General features: G+C 36.2%; 1 protein-coding gene and 1 pseudogene across 15 annotated transcripts in view; one reads left to right on the top strand and one right to left on the bottom strand.

The window, feature by feature from the left end:
- The window catches only part of KANSL1L (KAT8 regulatory NSL complex subunit 1 like), a 151,340-nt gene that overhangs the window by 83,526 nt on the left and 52,745 nt on the right, over nt 1–15,069 (top strand). For 11 of the 15 annotated variants that reach the window (XM_047443489.1, NM_001307976.2, NM_152519.4 and 8 more), the window contains one exon: nt 13,479–13,683. The exons of 1 other annotated variant lie outside the window; for it this stretch is intronic. In XM_047443489.1, coding sequence (XP_047299445.1) covers nt 13,479–13,683 — 205 coding nt within the window. Of the gene's footprint in view, nt 1–2,745; nt 3,334–5,390; nt 9,476–13,478; nt 13,684–15,069 lie in introns of those variants that run through there. 3 more of the 15 variants (XM_017003431.2, XM_047443494.1, XM_011510709.3) reach the window with 3 other exon arrangements.
- Nucleotides 171–1,009, bottom strand: RPL6P6 (ribosomal protein L6 pseudogene 6; annotated as a pseudogene).

The raw sequence follows: 15,069 nt of genomic DNA, 5'->3' as shown, positions 1-15,069 counted from the left end.
CAGTAAGATGATTGTGGATTCCACTTAAGTTCCAAAAACTTTTTCAATTAAACTGTTTGGGAAGAATTGTTTAAATAAAATGTATTACACATTGCCTTCTTTGGGTGGTATTGAACTTAATTTTCTCCCCAAAATGTATCAGTCATTTAATGAGATTCTGCTTAAGAAATTTAGGACACCCATTTGTGAGGGTAAATTCCATTCATCAGGGCAAACACAGATTGCAGGTAGCCCTGGAACTGAGGAATAGCTTTGATTGTTGGTAACATTTGCAGGTCCACAGCTTCCTGATCAACCTTACACTACTCTGTAATTTCATATGTCTCTTTTTTGGTGTTGAAAACCCCACCTTCCTGATGGCTGGGCTTCCACAGCTGCTGCTTCTTAAAGTAAGCATCAGTATGATGTTTGAGGATTTCATATTGCTGAGAGCAATTTTTGTGGAGGTGGCGATGGCAGATTTCTGGTGTGTTCCTCGTAGAGGAACTCGACTGAGGACCAGAGATCCAGTTACAGGTAACAAGCCAATGCCCACCTGCTTCAGGAAAATCACCTTCTTGCCTCTGTGGCGGCCAGTGAGGATGATCAGAGTGCTCCTGGGAGCTGGCTTGCAGTTTTCTCACATGCTAACTGGCTTGCAGTTATTTGCTGTGGCTCAACAGCTTTCAAGGCACGTCTTCCCTAAGATAATATCAAGGCAATTTGTGAAGTTTAATCACCTGGGTACCACTGTTCTTGTCACCGCCAACTGATTTTCTAATGGCTGCAAGAACCTCTTTCTGTTTTCAATCTTGGATTCATTGGGTGAGTATTTCCTTTTATGCATGTCTTTCCTAGAATACATAGCAGATCAGGCATATCTGCCAATTCTTCTGACAATTGACAGGATTTCGGCCTTTGGATTTTTAGCCTTGAAGTTACCCCTTTTCACCTTGCCACTAGTGTCAGCCTTCTTGCCTTCAGGCTTCTTCTCCTTAGTATCCGGCTTCTCAACTTTTTCACCTGCCATCTTGTAAGATGGGAAAGAGCTGAACTTAATTTTTTTGATAACTCAGGTTCACCACCATGATAACATTCTCAGGGGTTACTGAGATAAATAGCTGTATATCTATAAAACAATTCACTGAATAATTAACTAGTACCTACTGAGTGACTTCTGTGTGCCAGGCATTTGGATTGGATACCAGGTATATGATAATGAACAAAACCAGATGGAATTTCTATCTTTGTGATATAAAGTCTAGTTGTGAAAAAAAAATGACACCACCTAAATGATCACACAAATGTATAATTTTAAACCTTGATCAAGTGCTATGAAGAAAATTTTTATTGTTAAGAATATTACTTTGGAATTAGATCACGGTTCAATCCCAAATTGACCAATTGGTAGTATTGATCCTGCACGGCAATCTGAATTAGATAGAATGAGAACAGCCTGTTTTCTGGGTTGTGTTGTGAAGATCAAATGAGGTAACAAATGTGATGTTATTTTGTTAATTTTTTACGTGCTTATTATCTGTCTTCCTGGACTTGAACATAAGCTTCAGGAGAGTAAGAATTTTTTGGTCTATCTTACTGAACTGTTGTTTTCCTTAGTACTTGGATCAGAGAGTCACATCATGGGCATGAATTAATATTTGTTGAATGAATGAAATGTTGTTCATGATTTCTTGCCCATACTCAGCATTCATAAGGAATATTTTGTACTTAACGTATTTTTTCTTCCCTATAGTCAGATTGATATTCTATTTGTTGCTTTCGTGGCTGTCTCCTGCAGTTCTGCTTCTCTTCCTAATTTGACTCTGGACTAGAAAATCAGATAACCAATGTGATAGATGACATAGATGTCTCTGTAATAAGAGATATTTAAAAAAATCTGTAAGAGAGAAGGCCTCTCTTAAAAGCAACAAGAGGATGGCCAGGCATGATGGCTCATGCCTGTTAATTCCAATAATTTGAGAGGCTGATGCAGGAGGATCACCAGCAGTTCAAATCCAGCTTGGGCAACATAGGAAGACTCCATGTCTACAAAAATTAAAAAAGTGAGCCAGATGTGTTGATGCATGTGGTCTCAGCTGCTTGGGACGCTGAGGTGGGAGGATTGCTTGGTCCCAGGAGGTCAGGGCTGCAGTGAGCCGTGACCATGCCACTGCACTCCAGCCTAGGTGACAGAGCAAGATCCTGTCTCAAAAAAAAAAAAATAAAATAAAAAATAAAAAAAGGAACAGGAGTGAACTTTCATGCATAAACTTACTGAGATCTCTTTTTGTTATTTAAAGGCCTTTTAAACATTTCAGCTACATTCTATATATATAGTTGATGTTGCCAGATAAGGAAACTCATAAATGAAATGTTACAGTTCTTCTAATAAAGCATGCTTATTATAGCTTTATATCACATTATATCATAATTCTTGTATATAATTAGGTTAGAAGAAATTTAAATTTTTAATTTTTAAAGGTTAGCCTCATTCTATATACTAATTTTTGTGGATCATATAGAACTTTTGTTTGATATAATTCTCTTAAGTATTTAAGTATTAACTCATACTTAAATATGAATTCTTCATAATTTTAAGTATTAATGGTAATGATCTGTCCTCACAGTGCATTTAAAGTAAACTTACCTGGTTAATTATTTCCCAGGGCATGTTTGCACACTTGCTATTTATTGATTACTAACTCCTATCTTTTATTTAATAACAATATCGCCTAGAAAAGTGTCAAGAGTTTTTTTTTTTTTTAGCTTTATTAATCTTGGCAGTATGGTCTCAGATGACTCACCAGGAACTGTGCAACTAAGAAGATTGAGTCTTCAAACAAATGAAGCATTACATTTTATTATCATAGGGATAGTTTTTGGTTTTCAGATCTCATACTCTAAAATGAAGATAAAATGTTATAAATTAATCCTTGTTTATCCCATGGGGTATTATCTTTGAGAAAGTGAATTCCTACTTGAAATAGTGTCTAGATTTTTGTCATTGTTTGTTTTGTTTTTGCTTTAATGAGTCCCAGAATATGACATGAAATTAAATTCCGATGAATTATTGCCATGCTATTTATTTCTACTAATGATAATTATCTCATGTGACATGCAACTATCCTTTCTTAATTGGATATCATAATTGAAAAACTGCAGTTAGGCTGGCAAACTAATCACATAAAAAGTAAATTTTTTACCCTCAATATTTTCAATAGTCACTTCTCAATTATGAGAAAACATTGTTTGTTAGAAGCATATTCTAAGTTGATGTTTTCAGTATAATTTTGGATTCCTGTGAATGACAATATTATATATAATAATTATTAATAAATATTTAATTACAATAAATATATACATAGTTTACTTTTTCCTTTATAACTCTAATATAAGCCTAAAACCTAATATTATATAAGTGAATATATTAATAAATTGTGGTACAACCACTAGATCTAATATCATGTAACTATACAAAATTATGTATGTAGAAAATATATAATCATATGGAAACATGCTTATATTGAAATATTAAGTGGAAAAATGCGGACACTAAAATTATAGTACAGTATGATTTTATAGAAAAAAGATGTGAAGGGTATAAATGAAAACTATATTTCTGTTGAGAAGATGGGATTTTGAAAAATATTTCAGCTTTTATTCAAGTTTTTTTGTATTTTTGTTTTCCTTAAAATATAAAATAGAAATTATCTGTAAGTGCCTCAGATCAGACAAATATTTGACAAACTTTATGTCTCAATTATCAGGTAGAAAAGTATGGCTATCATATTGGTTTCCTCGTCTCTTTGCCTTTATGTGTTAAAAAGTCCCACTTTAAGTTAAGAGCCAGAGATAAGAATGACAGATAGTTCTGTAATAATTGGTATTTTCCCCCATCTACTCTTATTGTGGAAAACTTCAGACATATAGAAAGCATAGTAAAGTGAACCCACATATTCTCAGCTTTAACAGTTTTCAAAATTTTGCTAATTCTTTTGTTATTCCTTTTCCTGACACACTTTCTTTTTCTAGGCATTTGTAAAGCAGTTTCTAGTGATTGTTATTTTAACTATAAATAGTTCTTTATATTTCATTGATAAGCCTTTTAACATACCTACCACTTTATTATCACATTTAATACTGTTAACCATAATTTGTTAGTCTTGAAATTCTCTATCCATATTCAAATTTCTGCTTGTCTCAAAATTATCTTTTTATGATTAATTTGTTAAAACCTGTATCCGAAGTCCATAAATTACATTTGGTTATTATGTCTCCTAAGTCTCTTTTATTTTCAATAGCCATTTCAAAATGTATTAGACATCCTAATAAAAGAGAAAAAAAAAGGCTGGGCATGGTGGCTTATGCCTGTAATCCCAGCACTTTGGGAGGCCGAGGCGGGTGGATCATGAGGTCAAGAGATCGAGACCATCCTGGCCAACATGGTGAAACCCCATCTCTACTAAAAACAAAAATTACCTCGGCGTGGTGGCACATACCTGTAGTCCCAGCTACTTGGGAGGCTGAGGCAGGAGAATTGCTTGATCCTGGGAGCCGGAGGTTGCAGTGAGCCGAGATCGTGCCAATGCACTCCAGCCTGGCGACAAAGTGAGACTGTGTCTCAAAAAAGAGAGAGAAAAAAAAAAGAAATCACTATATTGCTCAGAGTATATTTTCTTGCCATCTTTTTAATATAGTCTTTTCATAGTTTAGATCTATTAGAAGTAATTTTATATCTTTTTCAGTTAATATTATATCTGAAGCTTTTTATACTTAAAATAGTTATTTCCCACTTCAGTACCTACAGTAAGATGGATCTTAATTTTTCTTTCTAAGACGGAGTCTCGCTCTTGTTGCCCAGACTGGAGTGCAGTGGTGCGATCTCGGCTCACTGCAACCTCCATTTCCTGGGTTCAAGCGATTTTCCTGCTTCAGCCTCCTGAACAGCTAGGATTACAGGTGCCCGCCATCACACCTGGCAAATTTTTGTATTTTTAGTAGAGACGGGGTTTCACCATGCTGGCCAGGCTGGTCTCGAACTCCTGACCTCAGGCAATCTGCTTGTGTCGGCCTCCCAAAGTGCTGGGATTACAGGCATGAGCCACTGCGCCCAGCCTTAATTTTTTTAGATACTACATCTTATTTTTAAAGAATGTCATTTTACAGTGTACTACAACACATTTTCTTATTGTTAGAGTTGAAGAGACTTCCATTTTTGAGTAAGAGATGTAGTTTCTCTACTTATTACCCAGAGTAAGGGAAATGGTCTAGGAACTGTTTTCTCTATACCAGGCAATGCCAGATCTTGATCTATTTGATCATTTGAGAGAGGTATTTACTTTTGCCAATTGGAGGATAAATAATCCTCCTATTAAGTTTAAGTCTTATTTTTTATTAGTTTCTTACTTTTTTTTTTTTTTTTTTTTGAGATGGAGTCTCACTCTGTCGCCCAGGGCTGGAGTGCAGTGGCATGATCTCGGCTCACTGCAAGCTCTGCCTCCCGGGTTCATGCCATTTTCCTGCCTCAGCCTCCCAAGTAGCTGGGACTACAGATGCCCACCACCTCGCCCGGCTAATTTTTTTGTATGTTTAGTAGAGACGGGGTTTCACCGTGTTAGCCAGGATGGTCTCGATCTCCTAACCTCGTGATCCACCCAAATTTGATTACTGCCATCCTAAATGCCATTGGGTTATCTGAATATGTGATGCATTCGTATCTCCCAGTACTATCAAGGATAAAGGAGGTAATAAATTCAGATATTGGCAGGACTTTGTGTAGTAGGGAAAGTATGGAAAAGGTTGCTGCCTACCTTAGTTACAATAGGTTGAATTCATCAAAGGACTTCCAACTGGAAAAGGAGAAACTTGAAATAGAGATTACAAGTCATGCAATAACTATGATTCTTAGGTGCATATGTTTATGGATATATTAGTTTCCTAGGGCCGCTGTATTTTAAGCCACTAATTTTGTGGCTTAAAATAACAGGTGTTTCTTATTACACAGTTCTGGAGGCTAGAAGTTCAAAATTAAGGTGTCAAGATCATACTTCCTGTGAAGGTTCTAGGGAATCCTTCTTTGCCTCTTCCTAGCTTCTGGTGGTTGCCTGCAGTTCCTTGACTTTCCTTGTAAGACATACACACATCACTCCAAACTCTGCCTCTATCTTTACATGGCATTCTTTGTGTGTCTCTTCTTGTAAGGAAATCACTGATTTGATTTAGGGCTCATCCTCATCCAGTGTGTCCTCATCTTAACTAATCACATTTGCCAAGTATTTCCAAATAATGTTACATTCTGAGGTTCTGGGTAGACATGAGCTTTGAGGAGACACTATTCAACCCAGTTTAGTGGGTGTGGGCATTTGTGTATAGTTTTATGGGTGGAGGGGGACACCTAGGAAACTATCATAATCTCTGTGAGAATGCACATTCTAATTTTCTTCAGAGTTTATTTCTACTTTTACTTAAGTAGTTTAATTTGAGAATGGTGTGAATGTGGGGGAAATGTTAGAAACCACTGACTTAAAACAATAGTTTTAAATTGTATGTTGAATAAGTCCCTATTTGCTGCTATTCCTTGAACTTAGTTTCCTTGGCTCCATAGTGTATTTTGAAGCAAAGGGCAGGACATATGCACCATGAAGTGGTAATATGAAAAGATGGAGGCCATTAGTTTAGCATGTGCTGGTATTCGTCTATTTTTCCATAAAGTATAGCTCTTCAGTTAATCATTGTCCTGGTATACAAGGGAAATTTTTAATTATGACCTTCTTACTATGAGTAATTCCTGGCTTTTGAGGATATCTTAAGGATATGGATCTTTCACACTCCTATGCTGAAGATCTTTGAATTTTCTTTTCCTGTGCTTGACATCGAGTGCTGAATGTAGTTTAGTACATGTCTTAGATTCCAAATGTCTAAAAGCATTTTTATCACATATCATTAAGTAGCAGCATTTTCCAAAGCAGTCATCTATCATGTTGTAATCTTTCTGATTGGATGGTAAATGCATCCTTACAAATTATCAGCATTACAGTATTTCATCAAAATGGAATATGCACTTTGGGAGGCTGAGACGGAAGGATCGCTTGAGCCCAGGAGTTCCAAACCATCCAAGAAATTTGACGAGACTCTGTCTGTATGGAACATAAAAAATTAGCCAGGCATGGTGGCATGCACCTGTAGTCCCAGCTACTCAGAGGCCTGAGGCAGGAGCATCACTTGAGCCAAGAAGGTTGACACTGCTGTGAGCTGTGTTCATACCAGATGCACTCCAGCCTGGGAGACAGAATGAGATTCTCTCTGAAAAACAAAAAACCCTAACTTTGTAAACCAAAGAGTCAGATTTAGAAGGAAACTTCAAGGCAGTGGAAATATATATCTTTTTTTAAAGTTGTCTTGTAGCCTTCTATTTAATAGAGCTTCTTTGGCTCTTAGACTAAAATGTTTAACATTTACTTATTCACCAAACTAATTATTTAGGTGTAGTGTGTGTTATGCATATGCTGTACTAAACCCAGGGCTGGAATGATAAACCTGACAACATATGTGTATGTACAGTATTTCTCCATTCCCTCAACAAATAATCATGGTGTATCTGCTATATGTAAGGCATAATATCAGGAATTTCTGATGCAAGGATAAACAAAATAGACACAGTCTCTGCACTACTGACAGTCTAGAAAGGAAGACAGATTAATCAGATAATCATGCAAATAAATATAAAATTATCACTATGAAAATGCTAGGAAGGAGAGGTGAACAGTGAGTGCTCACCTTTCAGAGCTCAGGGAATTTGACCTAGTCTTTGGAGGGAGATCATGCAGGAGCTAGAAAACTTCCCCAAGGAACTGACTTTGGATCTGAGAGTTAGATGATTATTGGAAATTATGTAGTGAAGAGGATGTGTGAAGATTCTAGGAAGCAAAAATAACATGTAGATCTTATACAGTATGAAGTGTGAATTATTTATAAAGAAAGGAAGCAGTATGGTTGGAAATGTCAACCTAAGGAAAGAAAATGAGGCAGAATTAATATAGAGACTTTATTTGGGTCAAGGTTGAGGACTGCAGCCTGGGAAACATTGGGAAGTGCTCCATTTGGCCTTGTTACAAGCAGGTGTTTTTTTGTTTGTTTGTTTTGTTTTTCTGAGACACAGTCTTACCCTGTTGCCCAGGCTGGAGTGCAGTGGCACAGTCTTGGCTCACTGCAACCTTCACCTCCCTGGTTCACGCGATTCTCATGCCTCAGGCTCCCAAGTAGCTGGGACTACAGGCATGCACCACCACGCCTGGCTGATTTTTGTATTTTTGGTACAGACAGGGTTTCACCATGTTGGCCAGGCTGGTCTCAAACTCCTGGCCCCAAGTGATCCACCTGCTTCAGCCTCCCAAAGTGCTGGGATTACAGGCATGAGCCACCATGCCCAGCCACAAGCAGATAAGGCAAAAAGGGACAAGGGACTTTGTCTAAGACCACAAAAGGGGCTGATACAAATTTATGTTTGACATGAATTCTTACTGGTTTACAAAAGTAACATTGATTACTAATTGGCTATATGTTGTTGAACTATAGTTTGTTAAGGTGTCTAGTGTATGGTATGTTTTGGCTACTTGGTGTCAGTTAGTCTACAGCCCACATAGCAAGTGGCTTCAAGAGTTAGGTATTTAGCTCAAGCGGGGAGCAAGACATGACTGCTGTCACATTTTTGTTTGTTTATTTTTTATTTTTGTAGAAAAGGTCTCGCTTTGTTGCCCAGGCTGGATTCAGACTCCTAGGCTCAAGAGATCCTCCTGCCTCAGCCTGCTGAGTAGCCAGAACTATAGGCATGCCATGTCACATTTTAATGCTTCTCTGGGCCTGGTAATTTAAAGGGACTTGAATTTCTCAGATTAAAAATTTGTTTTCTTTCTCAGAACACAGAGAACAAGGGAAAGCATCATGCAAGATGAGACAAGGGAAAGCATCATGCAAGATGAGGCAAGAGAACTATGGAAGAGGCCAGACCTATCAGGGCCTTTTAAAAGATTAAGGATTTAAGTCTTTCAAGAGCAATGGGAGGATGTTGGAAGATTTTAAGCAGTGTGTGTGTGTGTGTGTGTGTGTGTGTGCACGCGTGTGTGTGTGTTGTAGGGTGGCAGGGCAGGTATGACAGGATCAGATTGTTCTTTCCAAATAATTGGTATAGAAGGGACTAGAGGGGAAAATGTGGATGAGGGAGACCACTTTCAAGGCTATTGAGTAACCCTGGTACAAGATAGCTTGGATTAGGGAGGAGGCCAGGGAAATATAGAAAGGTATAAGCCTGAAACCCACTCTCACTACTTCCCCATCCTCAATTATTTAATTCCTTTTCAGAACAAGTTATGTTATATGCCTGCAACCCAAAGGATCTAAACTACATCATTTGGAAGATTTTTATTATTCTCCAGCTTCCAGTTAGAAATCTAAAAAAAAAAAAAAGGAATGTATTGCTTCAGCTGGTTCTCTCCCACTTGTAAGCTTGCTTTTTTAGAAGTACAATGATAACCATATATATATATATATATATATATACACACATACATATATATATATATATACACACATACATATATATATATATATATATATATATATATATATATATATATATATATATATACACATACATATTTTTTTTTTTTGAGACAGAGTCTCACTCTGTTGCCCAGGCTACAGGGGCTCAATCTCAGCTCACTGCAACCTCTGCCTCCCAGGTTCAAGCGATTCTCCTGCCTCAGCCTCCAGAGTAGCTAGGATTATAGGTATGGGCCACCAGGGCCAGCTAATTTTTGTATTTTTAGTAGAGATGGGGTTTAATTATGTTGGCCAGGCTGGTCTCGAACTCCTGACCTCAAGTGATCCTCCCGCCTTGGCCTCCCAAAGTGCTGGAATTACAGGTGTGAGCCACTGCGCCCAGCCGATAATTATATTTTGATAATTATTCTACAACAATATTTGATGGTGGCCTGTTGCATCCTCAGTTTCTAGGGTTTCATAGATACACTTTAATCTCAGTGGGAACACTAAGCTTTATCATTTATTGAAATATTCTTTTTCTTCTGGACCTTCTCCTCTTCTTATTATGACTTTAAAAAAATTTTTTAAGGACTGTCATCTAGGCAGGAGTTGTGGTGCACACCTGTAGTCCTAGTTACTCAGAAAGCTGAGGCAGGAGGATCCCTTGAGCCCAGGAGTTTGAGGCTGCAGTGAGCTACAATTGTTCTACTGCCTTCCAGCCTGGGCAACAGAAGGAAACCCTGTCTGTAAAAAAGAAAGAAAGATTTTTAAAAAGAGATAAACCTTATTTTTTTTTAAAAGAATGTCGTGTGATGATGGTTTCTTATATTGATTTATTAATGATATCCTTGTCTTACAGATATCATTAGGTTCCTATTTTAGTCAATACTTAATTACCTGAATCATCATCTCCTGGGGAAAAAGCATTAGATTACAGAGGCACAGGATCAGGCTTGTGTTGTCTTCCTCAAAATTTTCTCAGGATTTTCCTCATGTTTTGCTTTCAATGAGGTTAATTGATTGGGCCGTCTCATTATTGTTAATGTGTGAAATAAGTGAATTTATCAGTGGTTTACAATAACCATTTACAATAACCTTCATCCATTATTTATGGAAATGATTTTGTACTACATTAGCTTTGATGAGAATATGCAGTTTGCACATTGATTAGTAGTGAAATAAACATATCTCACATCTTTAAATTTCCATGTATTCATTTATTTGAGGATAGATGTTGATGATACTTTGCAAGAATTCTTATTAATTAGAAAGTGTTAGAATCTAAGGATAATTTGCCTGCAGATGGGAACATAAGAAAAGAAATAAAACTGAACTTTTTTTCCTCTGGTAATATGTTAGCCCCCTTAGAAATTTAAAAATTGTATACTGTAATGCACCACATAATGATGTTTCTAGTCAACGAAGGACCACATATACAACAGTGGTCCCATAAGATTATAATGAAGCTGAAAAATTTCTATTATCTAGTGACATTGTAACTATGATAATGTTGTAGAGCAATGCATTACTTTTTCTATGTTTAGATACACTAATACTTACCATGTCTATCATGTTACAGTTGCCTACAGCATTCAGTATGGTAACATGTTTTACAGGTTTGTAGCCTAGGAGCAAGAGGCTATACCATATAGCCTAGGTGTGTAATAGGCTTTACCATCTAGGTTTGTGTAAGTACACTCAATGGTGTTCACACAAATAAAAAATAACCTAACGATGCATTTCTCAGAAGGTATCCCCATTGTTAAGTGACACATGACTGTATAACATTTAGTGACACAAAGATAAGCTTTCCAATTATCTTTAAGCCAGCCTATGAGCCTCTAGCCAGTTCAGAAGTTGTGTCCTTTCATTTCATAAGATGAGGGCTCATCTTCTTTGGGCTAAGCCTTCCATGGGGAGGGGAAAGCTAACATCTCATTAACAACTGGAGTTGTAAATAGTGGTAAAAGTTAGTTAAGTAGGTCTCAGGCTCTGGAATAAGCTTTTAATTTTCCCTAGACACATCCTTGAGCAATGTCTTTTAAGAGCCAGTGTAAGTTCTGCCTAAATGTGCTTCTGACTTGCTGGACAAAGAACCTCTTTTGGTGCTGGATCTACTCCTAACTTCCTGGATCCTACATCTCCTGACTTAACTGCCTCTAATGCCAGCTACCTACTGAAACCTGTCTTCTTCTTGACCTCGACTCACTTCTATGCTAGCCACTTAGCCTGTTCAGTGCCTAACTTCATATTGGCTCTCCTGTATGCCTTCTGCTCCCCCTTGATATGACAGAAAATAAAATCTAGCTGTGAGATTGGACCTGTTAATTTGAGAGAAGCATTATACCCTAAATCTTTCCTAGCCATCAACATGATGAAAGATTTTTAGAACCTTTTATTTACCGAGACTTAAAGCATTCTTGCTAGAGCTCTCTGGAGACTTAATATTTTAAAAGTGAGGTAGTTGTCATCAACTCCTTTTTTCTATATTGGTCTGGCCAGTAGTGCATAATCAATTACGTATTTGTTGAATGTATGATAGTCACCAAATGCCATATTTAATTATTTTATTTAGTTTTACCAACACAAGCCATTCAGACACCTTTATTTCTGGTTTCTTATTACTATGTAAAGCATTCTTGAATTATTTACTTTATCCACAAGCTAATATAATATTTTATAGTAGCCATAAATATGATTCAAAAACAATACTGCTATAGAAAAACCATATTTTATATTTACTGGTAAACACCAATTCTACTTGAACCAAATAGCATATTTAGAACTTATATATTGAACAGCAGTATCACATAATAGCAGATTCATTTGTTAATATTAGAATACTAAATTGACTAGCTTTTGTCTACATAACTAAGGTTAAAATTGGTACCTTGTAGGGCCTGAAAAGCTTAATTATTGTATATATAATATGATAGTATAAATGAAGTTAAATTTATGTGGCAACGAGGGTTATCATCCTCCTGATGTTCTGATATTGTAAAATATTTGAAATATTTAAATATAATTTTTAAAAAATAATATAAAGAATAAATATAAAATTATGCTCTTTTCATGTGTAGCTTAGGTGATCTATTTCATTATTTTATAGTTGTTGTTTCTGTAACATTGGAAATTTTTAAAAAATGCTAAAATGTAGTAGGGTTACAGCTCTGTTTCAAAATTCACTGAAATGTTATTAATATGTAGTGCTTATATAAGAGCAACTAATAGCCAGGTGCAGTGGCTCATGCCTGTAATCCCAGCACTTTGGGAGGCCAAGATGGGCGGATCACCTGAGGTCAGGAGTTCAAGACCAGCCTGGCCAACATGGTGAAACCCCATCTCTACTAAAATATGAAAACTAGCAGGTAGCAGGCATGATGGCAGGTGCCTATAATCTTAGATACTTGGGAAGCTGAGACAGGAGAATCACTTGAAACCAGGAGACGATGGTTGCAGTGAACCGAGATCGCACCACTGCACTCCAGCCTGGGCAGCTGAGTGAGACTCCATCTCAAAAAAACAAAAAACAAAAAACAAAAAAAACAGAAACTAATAATGGAGTGATGACTTTAGTTCTTTTAAAAACCTGTAATCTATGTATTTTCATCATACACAAAAAGAATTTTGTGTAAATAGTTAAAATACTGTAATTGACATGAATTATTGTTTTACAATGAGCAATTACATTACACTAGTAAACTCATGAGCATTTTCTAACTTATGGTATATTTGTTTTGCAGGAGAAAATAGATGTAAAGATGGTTTTCACAACTTGAATATGTAATTTCCCGTTAATACAAAATATTTTACCAATTGTTACCACAAAATTGGTTAAAATTAATACTTTTCTGTCATAATAGATCAAGGCAATTTACATTTAGTTTTCTTTGTCTTTTTTGTTTGTTTTGTTTTGTTTTATTCCCTTCCCACGCCCTAATTATTTCATGGCATTTCAGTGCATCAGAGAATTTAGATGAGCTGTCTTCCTCCAGTAGCTGGTTACTTAACCAGAAGCACAGTAAGAAAAAGAGAAAAGACAGGACAAGACTGAAATCTTCATCCTTGACTTTCATGAGTACATCAGCCCGAACAAGGCCACTTCAGAGTTTCCACAAACGAAAACTGTACAGATTGAGCCCTACTTTTTATTGGACTCCACAGGTAAGGCTGCCTTTGGGAAGAAAACATGATCAAAGATTCACCATCAGCATATTTCATGCATGAGAAGATGTAGATTGTTATTTAGCATAACACTTATTTTGAATAATTACATGTAGAAAACTTACAAATATAGTTTAAAAATGATATAGTAGATATTAATAATACTAAAGTGGGCTTTAGTAATTTTTTAAACATTGCAAGCAGTGTACTCTGAAACTTCTCACATCCCCAGTTTTTTTAAAGATCTATTATGCCTAAACTAATTTGAGAGAAAATGAAATGTCAAGATGATTTTTAAAATGTACTGTCAAAGATAAGAGGGTAACACAAATGTACTACATATTTGTCCATAAATGTTTGCTCAGAAGAAGAAAATCTGCACAGCTGTCAGTTATTTTGGAAGAAGTAACGTTGCTTTCCTTTTTAGGTTTGATATTTATTAATCTTGTTGAGTGCTCCTTTTCCTTCTTCTAGAACATAAGCAATACAGTTTTAGATGCTCATGCTTACAATTTTTACAAATTAAGTATACTTCATTAGAAACATTCATTTTGTAAAACATATTTTTCATGTGTGAACAAAATAATGGGTATACTTCCTTTAGTGTACTTCTAAACCAGCTGTGATGAAAAGCAAAATAAGTTATCTCTAGTTCTTGCTGGATATGCTTCCCCCTGACAATTAACGTTAGATTTCTTAATATATCAAAGGAAAGAAATTATTGATACTACTATTTAATATTGTTTCTGATTATCATTACGTTATCTATTTAAATATGTTTATTAAAATAAAGATGCTTTGTTTTATTAGGAAACAATTTTAAGCTCTTTTATCAGGGTCCAGTTATAAATAGGAATGTGGATTCTGACAAATTAGCTTTCATTGAAAGACTTTTCCTGCCCGGCACGGTGGCTTATTCCTGTAATCCCAGTACTTTGGGAGGCCAAGGCAGAGGGATCACTTGAGGTCAAGAGTTCGAGACTGGCCTGGCCAACATGGCGAAACCCCATCTCTACTAAAAATACAAAAATTAGCCCAGCGTGAAAAATACAAAAATTTGCCCAGCGTGGTGGCGGTGCCTGTAATCCCATCCACTAGGGAGGCTGAGGCAGTAAATCTGATTCCAAAGCCCATGTTCTTTTTATAAACATTTATAGCAACAAAAATAAACCAAACCTTTTGTGAGCCAGAAGTCAGTAAAGACAGTATATTTCAGGGTTTATAAGGTTAGAGGTATTAGGAAATATATAGAAAAGATGGGTTTTGAAAGACAAGCAGAGTTTTGAAGGTTATGGTGAAGAGAAAGAAAGGATTTTAAGTGAATAATTGGAACAAAGATGAAAAAAGTGATGGAGAATAGCAAATTCTGTTACCCTCAGCTTATCT

Source organism: Homo sapiens, chromosome 2 (assembly GCF_000001405.40).
Source record: "Homo sapiens chromosome 2, GRCh38.p14 Primary Assembly".
NCBI lineage: Eukaryota > Metazoa > Chordata > Mammalia > Primates > Hominidae > Homo > Homo sapiens.
The sequence above is the reverse complement of the archived record's forward strand: the minus strand, read 5'-3'. Positions and strand labels throughout refer to the sequence as shown.